At 41.4% G+C, this 19,525-nt stretch overlaps 1 protein-coding gene and 1 long non-coding RNA gene across 9 annotated transcripts in view; one reads left to right on the top strand and one right to left on the bottom strand.

Annotated features, from left to right (window-relative positions):
* Positions 1-19,525, top strand: part of PRKN (parkin RBR E3 ubiquitin protein ligase) — a 1,380,350-nt gene that overhangs the window by 1,242,087 nt on the left and 118,738 nt on the right. The window lies entirely within an intron of this gene.
* On the bottom strand, positions 1,635-14,703 carry LOC105378098 (uncharacterized). 3 transcript variants are annotated; one of them, NR_134595.1, is made up of 4 exons: positions 14,661-14,703; positions 5,996-6,206; positions 5,716-5,818; positions 1,635-1,972 (listed from the first exon to the last, which is right to left on the bottom strand). It is a non-coding gene; the product is annotated as an uncharacterized LOC105378098 (long non-coding RNA). The 3 variants fall into 3 exon arrangements; NR_134593.1 differs by lacking the exon at positions 5,716-5,818 and adding an exon at positions 2,269-2,381; NR_134594.1 differs by lacking the exon at positions 5,716-5,818.

Raw genomic sequence — 19,525 nt, 5'->3', positions numbered from 1 at the left:
GTCCAAAAAAATTTTGATTTCTAACTAATTCATCACAAGTAGAAGCTTCTCTCTTATACATATTGCATCTAAATTTTAGAAACATCTTCGTATTCCTCTAAACTTTGACCCCCTCCTATATAAATTAGAGTGGTTTGGGAGGGGATGAAAACTAGCCTATGGACTTTAAAATAAATATAGTTTACTATGATAATATTTTCATTTCTAACTCCAGTTGTTACCATTGATTAGAAAATCAGCCCTGTCTGAGTGTTCACATTGTCCATTATAGAACACAGGCAAGAGCAAGGTGAATTAGGAAGAGGGAAACAGGACACAGGTTTTATTTCAAAAGAGCCAATGGGGACATTACAGGAATCATTTGATGGAGATGCCTATTCAGTTTTTTATCACACCACACACTAGTATAACCAGGAAATGCAAGGCACTCTCTGCCTACTCTGCCTAGCCTACCAAATTAAATCTAATTTATTTCATAAAAAGACCTAAGGCATATAGTCATCTGAATGACTGGCTCGGTACACAATGAATTCCCCAGAATATTAATAGGTTTGTTATAGCCTGAATGTTGATTTACTGAAAGTGTCATTCCAGCCTATGCATATTGATTCTCAAAAGCTAATATGTGACCAAAATGCTTGGTCTGTCAAAGCTGTCACATGAGCTGATCTGACTGGTTCCTTTGCCACTGATGCTAGTCCGACCTGATTTTTGCCTCAAAGAAGCAGGGGGAAGCCGGCGGCAGCAAAGGCAGGTGGTTAGGAGCAGACACCTTTGAGGGGCAGGTGGTTAGGAGCAGACACCTTTGAGAGGCAGGTGGTTAGGAGCAGACACCTTTGAGTCAGAGCAGTGGTGCTCAGTTGCCAGCGATTTTGTCCCCAGGGGATATTTGGTCATGTCTGGAGATAGTTTTGGTCATCACAACAGGGGGATGCTTCTAGCATCTAGCGGGTAGAGGCAGGGATGGTGCCAAACACCATGCAGTGCCCACAACGGGCCCGTGAGAATGGCCTGGTCTCAAACTTCAGTAGTGCTGAGATTGAACACCCTGAGTCAGACTCCCTGCGTTTAGTTCTGATGCCGTCCGTACCCACAGCTTGCTTTGGGAAACCTTCCTAAGCTTCCCAAGTGTCAACTGTCTCATCTTTAAAAAGAGTGAATCCCATGTCCTATTTCACAGGGCAAAGATGGTTGTAAAAATGAAACTAATCGATGCTTACTAAGCACTTGGGACGCTCCCTAACACGTAACGTACCCAGTGCATCTTAGTTATTGTTAGTAAAGGAAATAATGATACAAATAGCAGCAACAAGAAAGGCTTTCTTCAGGCTGGATGGCCCATCTAGAGGTTTCCAGTGCGTCTCAGCATTCCAAGAGGACTTTGGTTCAAAAGCCAGTTATAGGAGTTCAGAAAATGGCCATGTGCAAAACCCAGAAATTTTCTTTAAGCTGAAACCCTGCCAGGCAGGGTCTTTTTTTAAAATTTTCTTCAACTTTTCATTTTAAGTTCAGGGGTACATGTGCAGGATGTGCAGGTTTGTTATATAGGTAAACGTGTGCCATGGTGTTTTGCTGCACAGATCAACCCATCACCTAGGTATTAAGCCCAGCATCCATTAGGTATTCTTCCTGATGCTCTCCCTCCCCACAACCCCCCAGCAGGCCCCAGTGTGTGTTGTTCCCCCATGTGTCCATGTGTGCTCATCATTCAGCTCCCACTTATAAGTGAGAACAGGCAGTGTTTGGTTTTCTGTTCCTGCATTAGTTTGCTGAGGATAACGGTTTCCAGCTTCATCCATGTCCCTGCAAAGGATATGGTCTTGTTCCTTTTTATGGTTGCATAGTATTCCATGATATATATGGACCACATTTTCTTTATCCAGTCTATCAATGATGGGCATCTGGGTTGATTCCAAGTCTTTGCTATTGTGAACAGTGCTCCTGCCAGGATCTCACTATGCCACTCCCATGCCTTAAGAAATAAGTAGAAGAGGTCACAGTGAGTAATAGCCTATTTGAGCTACCAATGTGCTCTCTATTGGGGATGAGGGGCATTAATGTAGATGTCACCTTTAGGGATGTGACATGTGAGGTAAGGATAGAATTGTAGCTTATTGAAGTTTAGTGAATTCTGTGGAGGATCCATGAGTTTATACGCTGGGAATTAATGCAAGTCCATATTCTATGAGCTATGACCCCTTTCCTGACCTTATAGATGAGGCCTGAAAGTTCATGAAGGCAAGCATCCTGGGGCTAATTAGCACTTACGCATGACAAGCCTTTCAACCACGCTCAATCTTTATCATGGATTTTCAGGGGGAAGCCGACATGGAGCACTGTGAAACATTTTTATAACTATTAACCAGTGCTTTGGAGTTGGCCTGAAATACAAAGCCAATTCAGTCAATTAATGCATAGCTATGAAAATAGTTATCTCTATTTCACCTAACTCTAAGCATCTCTGGCGAAGTCTCATTAACAATGCATGTTTTTTTTTTTTTTTTTGAAACACAATTGTTAGTTGTCACGAGCCGGAAAGAACATTTATCTGCAGAACACATAGAGAGAAATTGCTGAGAAGTCCCTTGCATCTTCTCCCTAGCATACTTTTACAAAACCAAATTCACTCTCAAACTTAAAAAGAAGCCGAGGGAGAAGGAAGAATTCTGTACTGCCAGACTTCGTGATTAAATTTAGTGAAGATGCTGAGAATGTCTGTGGAAATTCTCAAAAAGCTATGAAACATTAAATATGCCACAGTTACTAAAGTCTAAGCTAAAATACTTAAAGTGCTTATGAAAGTCATATTGTAAGTCTATTATAAGATGGCCTTTTGTTTTAATACCAAAAAGTTGTGCAAGTCCTCTAGGAAACCCTTGTAAAAATTCAATTAACCTTTGTGCAGAAAAAAACAAGACCCAGAAACAATGCCAGAATTGGGGTCATTAACCACGTGCTGGCCTCATGGTGGAGAACAGCCACGTACTCAGTTGAATGCTCTGAAAGTCAGGCTAGCTTGCAGGGAATTAGCCGTAACATAGAAAGCATTCTTCATGCTTCCCTGCCCAGCTAATGTGCATTGTACTTTGTTCCCATTTTGTTTTCTAAAACATTCCAAATTATGTAGAGAAAGTATGTATTTAAAAGCCAGTTCTCAAACTAACTAGCTAATCTATGGCGGCTTTCTCCCTTAAAGAACTTAGTCATATTATTTCATGCATCTCTTCATATTCATATTGATGACAATGTTTTCTTGACCTAAGAGTAGGGACAAGGACAACTTTTTATATAAGCTTCCTGAGGGAGATTGTTTTGATCCTAACAGAACCTAACACTGCACGCTGGCATGCTGACAAATATTCTTCACACAGTCAATAGGTCATGAGAACCTGGTTAGTAAATGTTTGCCACACAGTTCCTAAAGCATTAATATTGGAGCCATAAAACTTTAAATGTATCATTTGTTGTGAAATCTACTTGAGTAACATGCTTTAAATTATTCTTGTTTTTATGTTATCTATTTGAATATACAGTTTTCAAAAATTGATAAATTTTGTTAACAATTTTACTTGAGATTGTTTCTTTGAAAGCCACCTACATTTTTCATTTTAAGTGACTGCTGAATTCATCATTGATACAGTATGATGTTGTTGCAGTCTCCCCCACCCCCCGCAAAATGAACATATTTATGGACCAGTGTGGCACTAATGTTCTAAAGTGACTCCAACAAACTCAATCCTTGTTTCTTTTGGCTTCCCCCCTCCCTCCCTTCCTTCCTTCTTTACTTCCTTTCTTCCTTCCTTCTTTGAAAAATTGCCCAAACTAAGTTTATATGAAGAGAAGAAAATGACAGAGGAATTGTGCCAATTCACTAATGTGTTCTAGGGCACAATCAGTAAGAACAATAATAAAGTGCTCAAACAGAGTGATAGGATTTCATCTTGAAACTCAGGATTTAATGACAGCTGCCTTTTAAAATTACCAGATTCACTACCTACCCTCTTTGTGCGGCAAAGGTTCTTTTTTTCCTTGTTTGTTTTTGTTTTTTTGTTTGTTTGTTTTGTTTTTTTGTTTTTTGAGATGGAGTCTTGCTCTGTCGCCAGGTTCTAGTGCAGTGGTGCGACCTCAGCTCACTGCAACCTCCACCTCCCAGGTTCAAACAATCCTCCTGCCTCAGCCTCCGGAGTAGCTGGGACTACAGGCACACGCCACCATGCCCAGCTAATTTTTTGTATTTTTAGTAGAGATGGGGTTTCACCATGTTGGCCAGGATGGTCTCAATCTCTTGACCTCATCATCCGCCTGCCTCTGCCTCCCAAAGTTCTGGGATTACAGGAGTGAGCCAACGCGCCCAGCCAAAGGTTCTTTTTATTACTTTTCCTGATGCCTTCTGCCCCCTGTACTGGGTACAGAGGTAGGATATGTTGGGTGGGAGAGTTGATAGGAATTCTTTAGGAAAAACCAATGTGATTTTAATTGGTAGAGCCCTTTCTAAAAAAATCTTGATACGGTTTGAATAGCTTTTAAGGAATATGTAGAAAACAGTTCTATGGTGGCATGTAATATTTTCAGTTCAAAACACTGCCCTTGACTGGAATATGCCAATGTTCTTTGTGGCATCTGAAGTCAGGGGCAGTGCCTGCCCACTTCCACGTGCTGCTGCCTGGAGCCCGCGTCTCGTGCTTCCCTCAGGAACCCCCTCTTCGTGGCTGTGAAGCGCTTTTCTCCTTGCCCGGTTACCATGGAGAAAGCTGCACCATCAGCTTTCCTTTCCAGTTACCAATGGGTTGTTAGCACACTGCTTATGAAAATGGTTTCTCTAATGCTAATTAGTTATAGCAATGAAATTAAAAGCGGTGCCTGCTTTTCTTTATTGATACTTTCAGCATGTGCTGAGGCAGGTATTTCAGATAAGGCCTGAAATTACTAATTATACTTTCTGGCAAGAGAAAACATTCACTTAGCATGTAATGGGTTAGACGTTAACTCTTTCTTACCTTCCATTGAAGGTTCCAGTTAGGTGATTTCCTACAAAGGAGACGATATTTCCTGAGTCTTGTCTGCTTCCTGTAATAGTGTACTTGGCTCCTTGTGCCCCAAAGCCCAGAACCAGGAATGCACAAAAGACCCATCATCGCAGTGTTATTAATACCAATGGAATCAAACTCTCGCTTCTGGCATTTTGTGAGTCTGCTATTTTAAGCAAGCTGTTTAAGCTCTCAATTTTCTCATATGTGAAATAAGAGAATTAAGATTCTTTTCCAGGATTGTTGTGATGGTGGAATAGGAAAATAGGGCCAGCTTGGAGTGTGCGACCTGTACAGTCACACAGGGCCCCATACTCACAGGGCCCCATACTCACAGGGCCCCATACTCACAGGGCCCCCCAGAGTTTGAGGCTCTACTGCTAATATCTTGAAATGCTAAATCATTTTTGAAGAAGGGGCTCTGTGTCTTTGTTTTGCACTGGGCTTCACAAATTATATAGTCATGATCAGATAGGAAACGCTGCAGTGATAATAAATACTCCAAAATCTCAGTGGCTTCACCCAACAAAAGTTCATTTCTCGCTCATGCTATGGCCTGCACACGGCTGAAGGCTGCCCTCCTCATCAAGGCCGAGGCTGACAGAGGCTCACCTTCACCTGGGCTTCCATGATCCCGCACCAGAGGGAAGGGAGCAAGGAATTGTGTGCTGGCCCTTAAAGCTCTCACCTGGATGACACTTGTCACTGGTGCTCACAACTCTTTGTCTAGAGCAAATCGTGTGGCCTGGTCTAACTTCAAAGGAGATGGGAAGTGCATTTCCACCTTGCACCTGGAAAGCAGAGGCTAGGGAAGTTGGAGACCAGCCCCACACTGTCACAATACAGGGAGGGGGTGCCCCAGTGACCCCGGCTTTGTGCAAGCCACCCTTCAGAGGGCTACATTGTAAGATTCCAGTTTTCTCCTAAAACAAAGCCAAGCCAAATTGCTCAAAAGTAAAATCACTTACCTTTTAAAAGAAGCCCTTAATTTTCTTATTTTCCAAGAAGTTCAAGATTCCCTTGACTGTCGTCTTCCCCGGGGACAGAGCATATGCTCAGAAAGTTAATGTTGCAGCGTCAGGATTAAATCCTTTCCAGCCAAACTGAGACACTGAAACCAGCATTGCTGGTTCCCTCATTACACTTCCTCAAGATGGAAGTGGCATTGCTGCTTGCGTTCTGATTATAAAATATAAATGTATTATTATAACACATTCAAGCAAAATGAAAAAGTAGAAAGTTAACATAAAAAGCAAAAACCAGTAAGATCAGGAATCTCACTACTTATTATTACTTATCTTTCTAGGCATTTTAGGATACATACCCACACTTGAAACTTTTTAAACTATTAGTATTATTATACATGTGAATGCGTAGATAGTGTTTTATGAACTGCTCTATTATGGGCATGTACGTACTAAATATAGTGATAATGATGCTATTTTTCAAATGTCATCATTGTGCGAAGTAATCACCTACCACACAACAATCATACGGCATACAGAACGATTTAGTTCCCTGTCCTCAGGCCTCAGTTACAGGTTCTAGAGGCAGCCACTTAGCGTTGTTATTCCAGAAATTTTCTGCACATCTATAAGCAAATATATCTTTTTTCTTTCATCCAAATTGTTACACTCTATGTATAAATTGTTTTCATTGTTCTATAGTATTTCATTTTATGAAATATCATTATTTGTTTAATGAATTACATATTTATATGATGACTATAGCTGCATCATTGCATTAGTATATCCACATAAAACTTATTTACTTGTTTATTTGATACATCATTTTTGTTTTGTTTTTGCCACAAAGTCTCACTCTGTCACTCAGGCTGGGAGTACAGTGGCACAATCAGAGCTCACTGAAGCCTCAACCTCCGAGGCTCACGTGATCGTCCCACCTCAGCCTCCTGAGTAGCTGGGACTACAGCACCCGCCAGCAGGCTAGGCTAATTTATTGTATTTTTTTCTAAAGACAAGGCTTTGCCATGTTGCCCAGGCTGGCCTCAAACCCCTGGACTCACATGATCCACCCACCTCAGCCTCCCAAAGTGGTGGGATTACAGGTGTGAGCCACTGCACCTGGCTGGCCACATCATTCAGAATTTTTTGAAGAAGCCACATAACAGCTATTTTGAGAGTTAAATGAAATAATCCTTTGGAAAGTATTTTGTAGATCAATTATCACATGTGTAACTATACTGATGGTAAACAGTAATTATTTTACTGTATGTCCTATCTACTTGTGTTATTTTATTAATAAGTGCAATAATATAATTCTGCATCTACAATGTGTAAATCTCACATTCCCGTGGAAATCATACTGTAAAGAGAGGCATAATACATGTGAAAAAGAGACACATAATTGTGGAACTATAGCATGAGAAGTGGTGGGAGCCACACTACTCAGTTTGCCCGAGGCAAGCTGCTTTATGCCCGTTGTTCAGGAGTAGCTGCTACTATGTTCCCTTTCACTCTCAAATTTGTTCAGATGAACAATAAATCATATTGTCATTTGATTTATGAGTAAATCAACCAGGCCCCAAATCTTGAAAGAGACATCCTTAATCTGCCTGTGTATATTGTCATTTTATTGTCCTCAGAATAGCTAAAATGGAACACATTGCAACTGCTCCTTGTTAAATTAGTTCACTGTGATACAGCTCAGGTACAACCGTTCATTTGCACTTTACACAAATCTGTTGATTTAAAGCCACTTTTCATGCCGCTCTTTCCTGCTTCGGAGACTGGTCGCCATCTTGTCCCTCTCTATTCCATCCTGCCAGGCTGATTATCTTCCCCTCCAGATAATACTGGGAAGCAAGGAAGGCCTGCATGAGCCGTCTTCAATATATTTGCTACCATTATCAGGATAGTTACATTTGTAATGCTTATGCATTCTAATAACATGATGTATCTATTTAATTTTCCTAATTTCCCATTTGTGATACAGAAAACTAAAAATTATTTCTAAAAAGTATTCTGAAAACAACTTATCCTTTCACACTTCCAATGATTATCCACCAAACAAAGTTAATTTTCTTCTATGCTGCAACTGAATTAAGAAAGGCCATCTTCATCACCTTGATTCATTAACCTTATCCTAAGGAAAAGTACCAGTATTTTTTTTTTTTTTTTTTGAGATGGAGTTTCATTCTTGTTGCTGGAGTGCAATGGTGTGATCTCGGCTCACCACAACCTCTGCCTCCTGAGTTCAAGCGATTCTCCTGCCTCAGCCTCCGAGTAGCTGGGATTATAGGCATGTGCCACCACGCCTGGATAATTTTGTATTTTTAGTAGAGACGGGGTTTCTCCGTGTTGGTCAGGCTGGTCTCGAACTCCCGACCTCAGGTGATCCGCCCGCCTGGGCCTCCCAAAGTGCTGGGATTACAGGCGTGAGCCACCGCGCCTGGCCAAGTCCCATTATTTTTTTCCATCACCAATACAAGCTGCTGATCGCCTGCAAGAAGAGTCACTTCATGTTTTTAATACTTTTAAAGCCAAATATCTTTTCAAAATGCTGGGTAGGAAACTACACAGGAACAGCATTCTCTGATAATTAACCACACTGGTGAGTTAAGTGCTGTTGGCTTTTCCTCAGGATACCTCACTCTCCAACATCATCCAAGTTAATTAGCTGACATCATGCGCACTTCCGTGCCTGCCTTACTGCCTCATTAGAACTGCATGCACTGGTTTGTGTCCAAGCCATTTCACCTCAGCTCGCCCACCAGTTTTTCTGTTAGCAGCTCCTGTATGCTGGCTCTCGGTTTCCATTGCCTTCCTTTTCATGCTGGATAACGTCTTCACAGAGGATGCGAGACAGCAAAGCACAGTCTCATTTCGTTGTAATGACGGAATGTCCCAGTCAGAGCCAAAGAGTGTAGAAATTCCACACTAATTCCAGCACATCTCCAGTGTTCTCAGAAATCGATCACTGTGTGACTAAACCGCCAGTGTCAAAGAAACAAATCGGTGGGTCTTCTGCCTCCCGGCTGCCCTGACTTCCTGACAACTGTTCTTTTCCTGGGAGCCATTTTTAATGGCCTTTTTAATCACCATCATCAACAGTGGGGAACTCTCAATAACATCTTAAGCTTTAAAATGTTTTTGAAAGTGAGTTGGAGACGCATAAATATTTAGATTTTCTCAAGGAAAAGTGTCTTAAGTGTCTGAGTTCTAAATTTGAGCCAAGTTTTCTTTGAAAATGTATCCCAATTACAGTTGTAAATAGTAATCCCACAAACAAAAGCTTCGGGGGGAAGTTACTAAAAACAGTTGAATTCCCTAAATGTTGATTTCCCCACACATCAGAAGCAGCAGCTTTTTTTAGGATGTAATTATTTTCCTGATATACATTCTCACACTCCTGGGAAAGAGTTTTAGCCATTTTGTACTAGAGATCCATTTGGCAGTTTGATGAACAGTTTGGACACTATCTTGAATAATTTTTTTTTTTTTCCTGAGACAGAGTCTCACTCTGTCGCCCAGGTTGGAGTACAGTGGCGCGATCTCGGCTCACTGCAAGCTCCGCCTCCCGGGTCCACACCATTCTCCGGCCTCAGCCTCCTGAGTAGCTGGGACTACAGGCGCCCGCCACCACGCCCGGCTAATTTTTTTGTATTTTTAGTAGAGACAGGCTTTCACCGTGTTAACCAGGATGGTCTCCATCTCCTGACCTCGTGATCCGCCCACCTTGGCCTCCCAAAATGCTGGGATTACAGGCGTGAGCCACCGCGACCAGCCTATCTTGAATAATATTTTTAAATATATAAAATATATAAGATTGAAAGGAAAATGCAGTTATCAGAGTAATAAAAAGAAATTCATGGTTTTTAATATGTGTTTCTTTATGAATGAATTAAATAACAAGTCAGGCCAGGAACAGTGGCCCTTGCCTGTAATCCCAGCACTTTGGGAGACCGAGGCGAGCAGATTCCTTGAGCTCAGGAGTTCAAGACCAGCCTCGGCAACATGGCAAAACCCTGTCTCTACAAAAAATACAAAAATGCCTCAGCTACCCAAAAGGCTGAGGTGGGAGGATCACTTGAGCCCAGGAGGTCAAGACTGCGGCAAGTTGTATTGCACCGCGGCACTCCAGCCTGGGCCACAGAGCGAGACCTCGTCTCAAAAATATATGTAAATAAAAATAACAAGTCAATACCGTGCATTTAAAATATAGCAAGTTAAAGTAAAACTTTATTGTTTAAAGAAATACCAGTGCAAAGAACATTTTTGCTGAGTTTACCTGGGAACAATAAACCATGCATGAGAATGAGTACCCTCCTTCCTCGTGATGACCAAAAACAAATCGCAAATGGGAATACTGGAAAGCAACGTGAATGTCTGGGTCACCAGTGTGGGAAGAGGTGACTGCATTCCCCCAAGTTGGCAGCTCCATCACACCAGTTGATAGGACAGCAGCGATCACATGCAATCTACTATAAGTATAGGTAATAGTGGGTCAGGCATGGTGGCTTATGCCTGCAATCCCAGCGCTTTGAGAGGCAGGCAGATCATGAGGTCAAGAGATCGAGACCATCCTGGCCAACATGGTGAAACCCTGTCTCTACTAAAAATTAGCTGGGCATGGTGGTGCATGCCTGTAGTCCCAGCTACTTGGGAGGCTGAGGCAGGAGAATCACTTGAACCCAGGAGGCGGAGGTTGCAGTGAGCCGAGATTGCGCCACTGCACTCCAGTCTGGTGACAGAGAGACTTCATCTCAAAAAATAAAAATAAGTAATAGTGGGCCGGGCGTGGTGGCTCACACCTGTAATCTCAGCACTTTGGGAGTCTGAGGCAGGTGGATTACGAGGTCAGGAGATCGAGACCATCCTGGCCAACATGGTGAAACCCAGTATCTACTAAAAATTAAAACCAAAAAAAAGTTAGCCAGGCATGATGGCGAGTGCCTGTAGTCCCAGCTACTCGGGAGGCTGAGGCAGGAGAATGGCGTGAACCCACGAGGCGGAGCTTGCAGTGAGCCGAGATCACACCACTGCACTCCAGCCTGGGCAACAGAGCGAGACTCCATTGCCGAAAAAAAAAAAAAGTAATGGTGAACATAGTTGGTATTTCAAGGTGTCTACAGCTGCTCTAAAATCATACGAAGATATCTGTGATTCTCATCTATGACTAAGTCACAGATACCACTAACACTACTGATATTCATACCTATGTTTATAACTGAAGGAAACACCAAACTTCAGGTAGGGATTAGTGATATTAAATATATAATTAATTCCCATCCAAGTTCACAAGCTCCACGGACTCCTGTTACCAGTCTCAATCTTATAGGAAACAAGAGGCTTGGTCTATGGTTGGAGCAGGAAAGACAAGATGAAGGAGAATAACTATGGGGTAGCCAACAAGGTAAGAGTTATGAAGAGCCATTACACACCAGGCCCTGTGCTGGGCACTTCCGTGGAGTAGCCAATTCATTCCTCACATGACTGCACCATTTACTTGTACATGGTACTAGTAAACAGTGGCGCCATAATACAAATCCATGCCACCACAGGAGAGGTGGAGTGACTTACTGGTAAGTTTGGAAAGAGTAAACTGATCATGCTCCACGCCCATTTTTTTCTTGGTAGCAGATGCTCTGCAGAGAACTTATATTCTGCTCTGTTTTTCGAGGAAGTCTGGCTCTGCCTAAGCTTGGGTGGATAGATTTCCACAAGCATAAAATTTGATATTAGAAAACCCGCTAGTCTACATACACAAGTCATGCCCTCCATCCTAGCGATCTTGTATATAAAAATGCCACTCCACCTGCTCTCCTTTCTTATTTACTTATTTTTCTATTATATATAGTTAAGGTGTACAACATATTTTGATATATTTATACATAGTGAAGTGGTTACTATACTCAAGCAAATTAACATACTTATCATCTTCATGGTTACTTTTTTCATACGTATACAGTAATAGCACCTAAAATCTACTTTTTTGCAAATTTTCATTATACAATATTATAATTATAGTCCTCTAGTACATTTCTAGAATATTTGTCCTACCTGTAACTTTGTATGCTTTGACCCATATCTCCCCATTTTCTGCCACAATTCCCCCCACCACTTCCGGTAACCACCATTTTATTCTGTCTCTATATATTTGACATTTTTTTTTTAAGATTCCACATGTAAGTAAGATCATGCAGTACTTTTTCCTGTGTCTGGCTCAGTTCACTTAGCATAATGTCCTCCAGGTTAATACATGTTGCCAAAAATAGTAGAATCTCCTTTTTAAGGCTTGATAATATTCCATTTTATATATATATATGTATATAAATAAATTTATGGATATATAGGTATCTATATATATAATGCTCCCCTCTCCCTAATATATATGTATATAATATATTCCACAATTTCTTTATCCATTCATCCTTTGATGCTTACTTAGGTTGTTTGCATATCTTGCTATTGTAAATAATGCCACAGTGAACATAAGAAGGCAGCTCTGTGAGGTGCTAATTTTACTTCTTTTGAGTATATACTCAGCAGAGAGATTGCTGGATCATATGGTGCTATAGTTCTATTTTTTTATTTTTTAAGGAACCTTCGTACTGTTTTCCATAAAGGCTGCAACAATTTACATTCCCACCAACAGCATGTCAGGGTTCCCTTTTCTCCAACCCGTGCTACCGCTTGTTATGTCTTTTTGATAATGGCCATCCTAACAGGTATAAGTTGCTATCTCATGGTTTTCATTTGCCTGTCCCTGATGGTCAGAGATGTTGATTACCTTTTCGTATGCCTGTTGGCCATTTTTATATCTTTTTTGGAGAAATGTCTATTCAGGCTCTTTGTCCGTTTTTTAATCAGGTTATTTGGGGTTTTTTGCTATTGAGTTGTAGGCATTTATTTTACATTTTGGATATTAACCACTTATCAAATACATGGTTTTCAAATATTTTCTTCCAATCTGTAAGCTGCCTTTTGATTCTGTTCGTTGCTTCCTTTGCTGTGCAGAAGCTTTTTAGTTTGGTGTAGTCCAGTTGTTTATTTTCACTTTTGTTGCCTGAGCTTTGGTGTGGTATCCAAAAAGTTATTGCCAAGGCGATGGGGTTTCCCTGTGTTTTCTACTAGGAATGTTATGATTTCAGGTCCTATGTTAAGTTCTTTCATCTATGTTGAGTTGATTTTTGTGTATGATACAAGCTAAGGGTTCAATTCATTATTTTACATGTGGATATCCAGTTTTCCCAATACCATTTATTGAAGATATTATCCTATCCAGATACCATTGTGTCTTCTTGGTGCCTTTGTCAAAAATTAGTTGACCCATTTTTCTTTTCAAGCTGAGACAGGGATAGTAGGTGTCATGGATTGGGTTTCCTTAAACTCCCAACACGTTCTGCAAGTAAGACTTGCTCTCTTCTAAAGGCATCCATTCTATTTTCAAACAGTTCTGATTTTTACAACGTTTTTCTTTATATCTAGCTAAAATCAACCTCCCTCTGTTGTCCTGGGGTACTTGGAAGCCTTAGTCCTTCTGTGAAGGGCTTATCCTTCAGTCATTAAAGCAGGCCATGAAGAAGATTACCAACTCTACAAAACACCCTGGTCCAAACATGCATGTGTCCTTCCTTCTTAACATGGTCAAAATACTAGATTAGGTTTTTCAAAAATTTTTCAAATGAGAGAGAACTTCTTCTTCATAGGCTTCAGTATTTTTTTTTAATGTCTCCCAAAGTTGGTATTGAAATTAAACAGATTCCAGGTGAGGTCTTGCCACCACATAGCAAAAGAAAACTATCCACACCTTCAGTTTATGCTGTATTTTTCTATTAGTGTTACCTTAGATTAATTTAATCTTTCATAGATGCATTTATTGTATGTTAATTATCTTTATGACACATGTTCTGTTAAGCTATAACTCCCACAGCCAATATAGCTGTTACATATATTCTAGTACTGGGATTTAAACTCTTCTCTAAAAGTCGGTTCTGTAATCTTGTTAGATTACCCAGTGATGTCAGACGGTGGGGGGATGTTTTTGAATCCTGATTCTGTTTCCGATAGACCATCCAATTCAAGAGCATATAGAAATTAGGTCATCATTCTGTCAAGGTCTATTTTCAAGTTGTTAATGAAAGTGCCTAAGAGGATACATTCTTCATTACCCAATCCATATTTCTCCATTTCTTTCTTTTTCATGTCTTGAAGATTTGTTGTTTTGATTTGGTTTGGTTTAGTTTGGTTTTTCATCCTAGTCTAATGCTGACATTATACTGGGAACTTATTGAATATTCATAAGTTTGAATTCATAAACAAATATTTTCTTATTATAAAGCTGCTTACGTAGGTGTATATCTGTAAGTGAAATAAAACAACATCCCCATAACCCCAAAACTCAGACATTGCAGACTCTGCTAATGTTTGGCTATATTTCTTTCTAGGCTTTTTGAAAGAGCATTTTTCTAATGTACATTTTTCACTCTATTCATTACCTGGCCTTTCTCTGTCTCTCCCTCTATTGAGAGGGAGTGGTTAGTCCAGTCCTAACATTTGCAGGACCTGGGATAAGAAGACAAGTGTGGGTTCACATGGCCCTCATCTCAATGTTTAAAAATTCTAAATCACACTAGCAAGCTGTTAAATAAAATACATGCTATCCTCTTACCTTAAGGAGTACACCTTCATAAGGACCTTAGAGGCCAGATTCTAACTTAGAATTCTCTGACCCCTCAGAATTCTTTACCAGAACTTAGTGGAACTGGGAGAGTCAGCCCAGACCCCTTCTCTTGTCTAGCTCTGCCCTGCCTAGAAGGTTCTCTGCACACACATAGGCAGACACCCAGCCCACAAATCTCAGATTCATCCACATCCCCTACATGTGGCAGCCCTTCAGGCAGCCTTCGGGCTCAGGGTAGGCACATCACTGGAACAGTCCACTCTCAGAAGGACAGATGGGAGGAAGCTGCCTACACAAGCCCTGAATCAAGCCCAGGCCATTTGGGCAGGGAATTCTGGGGCTCAGGTGCCTGGGGCATAGTCTGAAGGGCAAGCATGTGCTGTTGTGGGTGCAGCTTTTTAGCTCCACAGACTCTTTGCTCCAGGAAGAGGGGTGTGGCCAGAGGAGGGCCAGGGCAGAACCCTCTAAGACATAGGACATCTCTTGAGTGGGTCAAAGGGTTAGACTGGGAGTGCTTCTCAGGTAATCCAGAGTGTCCTGCTCTCAGGAAGTTCTGATCCGTTGAGAATTACTCTTGAGTGTTCATAATGGGAGTTCCTTCTACCTAGAGGAAAACCTCAGGTCTTCCACCACTCCCAGCTCCAGCAGAAGAGTGATGAGCACTGGGTAGAGCCGTTGAAGAGGGGAATGAAGATTTAGATGAGTGACTACATTAAATAATACCCTAATGGGCCTATGACAGCAAAGGTAGTAATATAACTAAAGCATATAATCAAACACAAAAATTATGTGGCATAGACTGTACACCATTATTTTAGTGTAGGTTACAAGGCTCAGACTGTCTAGGTTTAGACCCTAGCCAGAGTTCACTTCCTAGCTATGCAATTTTGAGCAAATTAACTTCTCTGTGGCTCACTTTCCTCTTCTATTAAATGGGTGTTTTTTAAGAGTGCCTACCTTGGTGAATTGAAGGAAACTATGTATGTTGGATGTTCAGCCTAGCAATGCCCGGTTCATAGTAAGCACTTTGCAAGCATTAGCTAATTTTTAAGCGGAACAATTATTATTACCACTATTATTAATGCTATGCTATAGCTTCTATGAGAAAATGCAGGCTAGTGGTCCTCTACCTCTCACAGTTCAGTAATATGTGTATTAGTTTCCAGTGGTTGCTGTAAAAAATTATCACAAATGTCATGGCTGAAAACAACACAGATTTATTTTCTTACAGCTCTGTAGGTCGGAAGTCCTAAAGTTAAGGTGTCGCAGGGCTGCATTCCTTCTGGAGGCTGTGGGGGAGAATCCTCTTTTCTCCCTTTTCTGGCTTCTTGAGGCTGCCTGGATTCCTTGGCTTGAGGTCCCTTCCTCCATCTTCAAAACCAGCAAAGTAACCTTCAGGTTTCAATCTCTCTCTCTTTCTCTTTCTCTCTCTCTTTCTCTCTCTCTCTCTCTCTCTCTCTTTCTCTTGTTCACTGGACCCACCTGGATAGTCCAGAATTATCTCCCCACCTCAAGACCCTTAACCTACTCATTTCTGCAAACTCCCGTTGCGATGTATTAGTCTGTTCTCACACTGCTATGAAGAAATACCTGAAACTGAGTAATTTATAAAGAAAAGAGGTTTAATTGACTCACAGTTCTGTATGGCTAGGGAGGCCTCAGGAAACTTACATCATGGCGGAAGGCACCTCTTCACAGGGTGGCAGGAGAGAGAATGGGTGCCCAGTGAAGGGGGAAGCCTCTTATAAAAAAAGTCAGATCTTCTGAGAACTCACTCACTATCACAAGAACAGCCTGGGGGATACCACCCCCATGATTCATTTATCTCCACCTGGTCCCATCCTTGACATGGTGGATTATTACAATTCAAGGTGACATTTGGATGGGGACACAGAACCAAACCATGAATGCTACCATATTCATAAGTTCCAGGGATGAGTACACAGACATGGGGGAGGTGGCAGTATTGACTCTTTGGCAGCATTTTGGTGGGGAGTCATTAGGAGATGCATGAAGGAATTTTACTTGGCCTGTAGGGAGCGCCCATTTGTGTACTGCTGGGTTTTAAAGTAGGAGGAAGTTGCCTTGGTTGTAGTCAGCATTATCAGTTAACCAGGTTGGTGTTGAGTATGTCTTATGGGAAGGACTGACAGGTGTATAGGCTGACAGTGAGCATGAGGGCCTTCAACTGTGGCCACAAGGACAACTTCACAAATGAATGAACATACACTGTGCATGACTTTCCTGTCCTTGAGAAGAACATACCCAAGTCCTCTGAGGCTGGATCCTCCCGGCAGCTGCATTAGTGGTAAATAGCAGAGTAATTCCCCGGCCATGGATGCAAGGACAGGAGATGGTAACTTAGACTGTGGTGACACCTTCACTTAAATCTGAGCCTTCCTGAAATATGAGTATTTGAAATAATAGCAGACGACATTGGGCAGATTTCAGTAAAGGATGAATGCATTTTTAAGTTTCTAAACATGTTAATAAGCACATGTCAATAAATGGGGAGTGAGGCAAAAATGGAGTCAGGCTGAAGTACCCCCTTGCCATTTAAAGGATACTCTGTAGGATTTGACATTTATTATGGTTGACTTTTCAAGGCTGAGTATTTTCCCAGACCCACTGCCTCTTCTCTCTTCCTGTCTACACCTGGCGTAGTACACTATTTCAGATTGAAGATTAGGTTTGGCTGTTTTTTTTTTGTTTTTGTTTTAAAGTATAGGGTAAGAGGCTGGGCATGGCGGCTCATGCCTGTAATCCTAGCACGTTGGGAGGTTGAGGCGGGCGGATCACCTGAGGTCAGGAGTTCAAGACCAGCCTGGCCAACATGGCGAAACCCCGTCTCTACTAAAAATACAAAAATTAGCTAGGTGTGGTGGTGCGTGCCTATAATCCCAGCTACTCAGGAGGCTGAGGCAGGAAAATTGCTTGAACCCGGAAGGCAGAGGTTGCAGTGAGCTGAGATCACACCACTTCACTCCAGCCTGGTTGAAAGAGTGAAACTCTGTCTCAATAAAACTAAAAATAAAAATAAAGTGTAGGCTAAGGGAGTGAGAAGGAATAGAATTTTACTCTTTCTCACATGAAAAAAAAAAGCTGGAAGTATGCAACTGACGGACAGTGTGGGACCTCCATGGTCACAAGGGAGCCATGGCCATTCCTCCTGAGAATGTAGCTCCCTGGAATCCCCAGGAAACCCTCTACTCACAGCTCACTGATCAGCCCTAATGCAAGCAAGGCTGGAAAAGTAGAATTTTGCTGGGCACATAGTTGGTGTTCTGTTACTGAGGAAGAAGAGGAACATGAATATTGGGCAGGCATTTGCAGCCTCTGTCGCTCCTGCACATCCTTTGAGACTCCTCTCAAGCGTCATCATCTCCAGGAAGCCTTCCCTGTATCCTCCTTTTAGGCTCAGCACCTCTCAACCTGCATTCCCATAGCAATCTGCATGTTTCTCTGTTATACAACAGTAAAGCATTGTATTAAAATTGTATCTAGGTCTTCCCCATTGGACCATATGCTTACAGAGAAATGCCCATCTTACTCGTCATTACACTCTTAAATGCCCAGCACATACAAGAACTTGGTAAGTGTGTGCTGGACTGAACTTATCAGTTAATAACGTATATACTCCATAGGGCTAGAATCGTGTTCGTATTATATGTGTCTATATCAAATTCACCGCACAGTGCCAGGCACACAGTCCACTCTCAATAATATTTACTGATGAATGGGTGAATGAATGAATGAATGAGTGAATTATACTTAAGACAGAAGGGTGTAGATGGAAGAAGTCTCTCTCAAAATGCCACTTTCCCAGTACATTGAAAAAAACAACTATTCGTCAGCACAAATGGCTCCCCCAGCAGCAGGACACTGATGAGCAGTAATGAGAGAGGCTTTTTAATCCAGAGGCAACAGTGAGAAGAAAATGAAATCAGTGGCAAACAATCCTGGTTTCTGGGATGTAGAACATTCTGCAGAGAGAAGTTGGCTTGTATATAAGGACGCGAATCTAGACAGGAACCTCTTGATGAGATTTCATTCCTTTGCCCTGAAAAGAATATTTTATTTCTGCCACCAGAAACAAAAGAATAAAAATCCCTCATTAACTAACTTCGTGTGACTGTCCCAGAAAGGAAAAAGCTTGTATGCCCATCTGAGAACCATAGTCTTGCCAAGAGAACCCTGAGATTCCACTCTTTTTGGGCTCTACTTGACAGCTTTGAAATAAATCTATCAATCACTTGTCAGAAAGCCTGTCCTTGGGTTGTTTGTATGTCTGTGTGTCTGTGTGTGGATGTTTGCCCTAGCAGTATGGCTGCATATTTATTTAAGGTTAGGCCCTCCTGTTACTTTGAGTGCAGTCCTTACCAGAGAGGATGGCAAATCTCAGAGATGTACTGGCTTATCTTTTAATATGCAAACTGTACCTTCATCCTAACATCCACAGTGTCTGAGTTAGTTGAGCAAGCAGAATTGTTTAAGCTTCTGCCTAAACAGATCAGAGCAGATGAGTGCAAAAATAGAAACTAGTTGACTGGAGGAGAAATGATAAAACTATTTTCTAGATTTCTACCGTAACAAAAAGAACAAGCCAAACAGCTTACATAGTTTCAGAGATTTTTTAACCCATCAGAGAGCTGAGATCAAAAAAAACCTAAGTGAAGAAAATTACTAAAAGTAATAAGACTTTCCTGGAAGAGAATGTTATCAGAATTGACTAAATCATTCAACAGGTTAACAGAAGACTGAGCAGAAGAGGTAAGTATCAATGATCTTGAAGAGCGGTCAATATAAACTGTTCAAATAGAAACACAGGGGGATCTAATGTACAGCATGGTGAC

This window comes from Homo sapiens, chromosome 6 (assembly GCF_000001405.40).
Source record: "Homo sapiens chromosome 6, GRCh38.p14 Primary Assembly".
Taxonomy (NCBI): Eukaryota; Metazoa; Chordata; class Mammalia; order Primates; family Hominidae; genus Homo; species Homo sapiens.
This window is presented reverse-complemented; position numbering and strand designations above follow the sequence as displayed.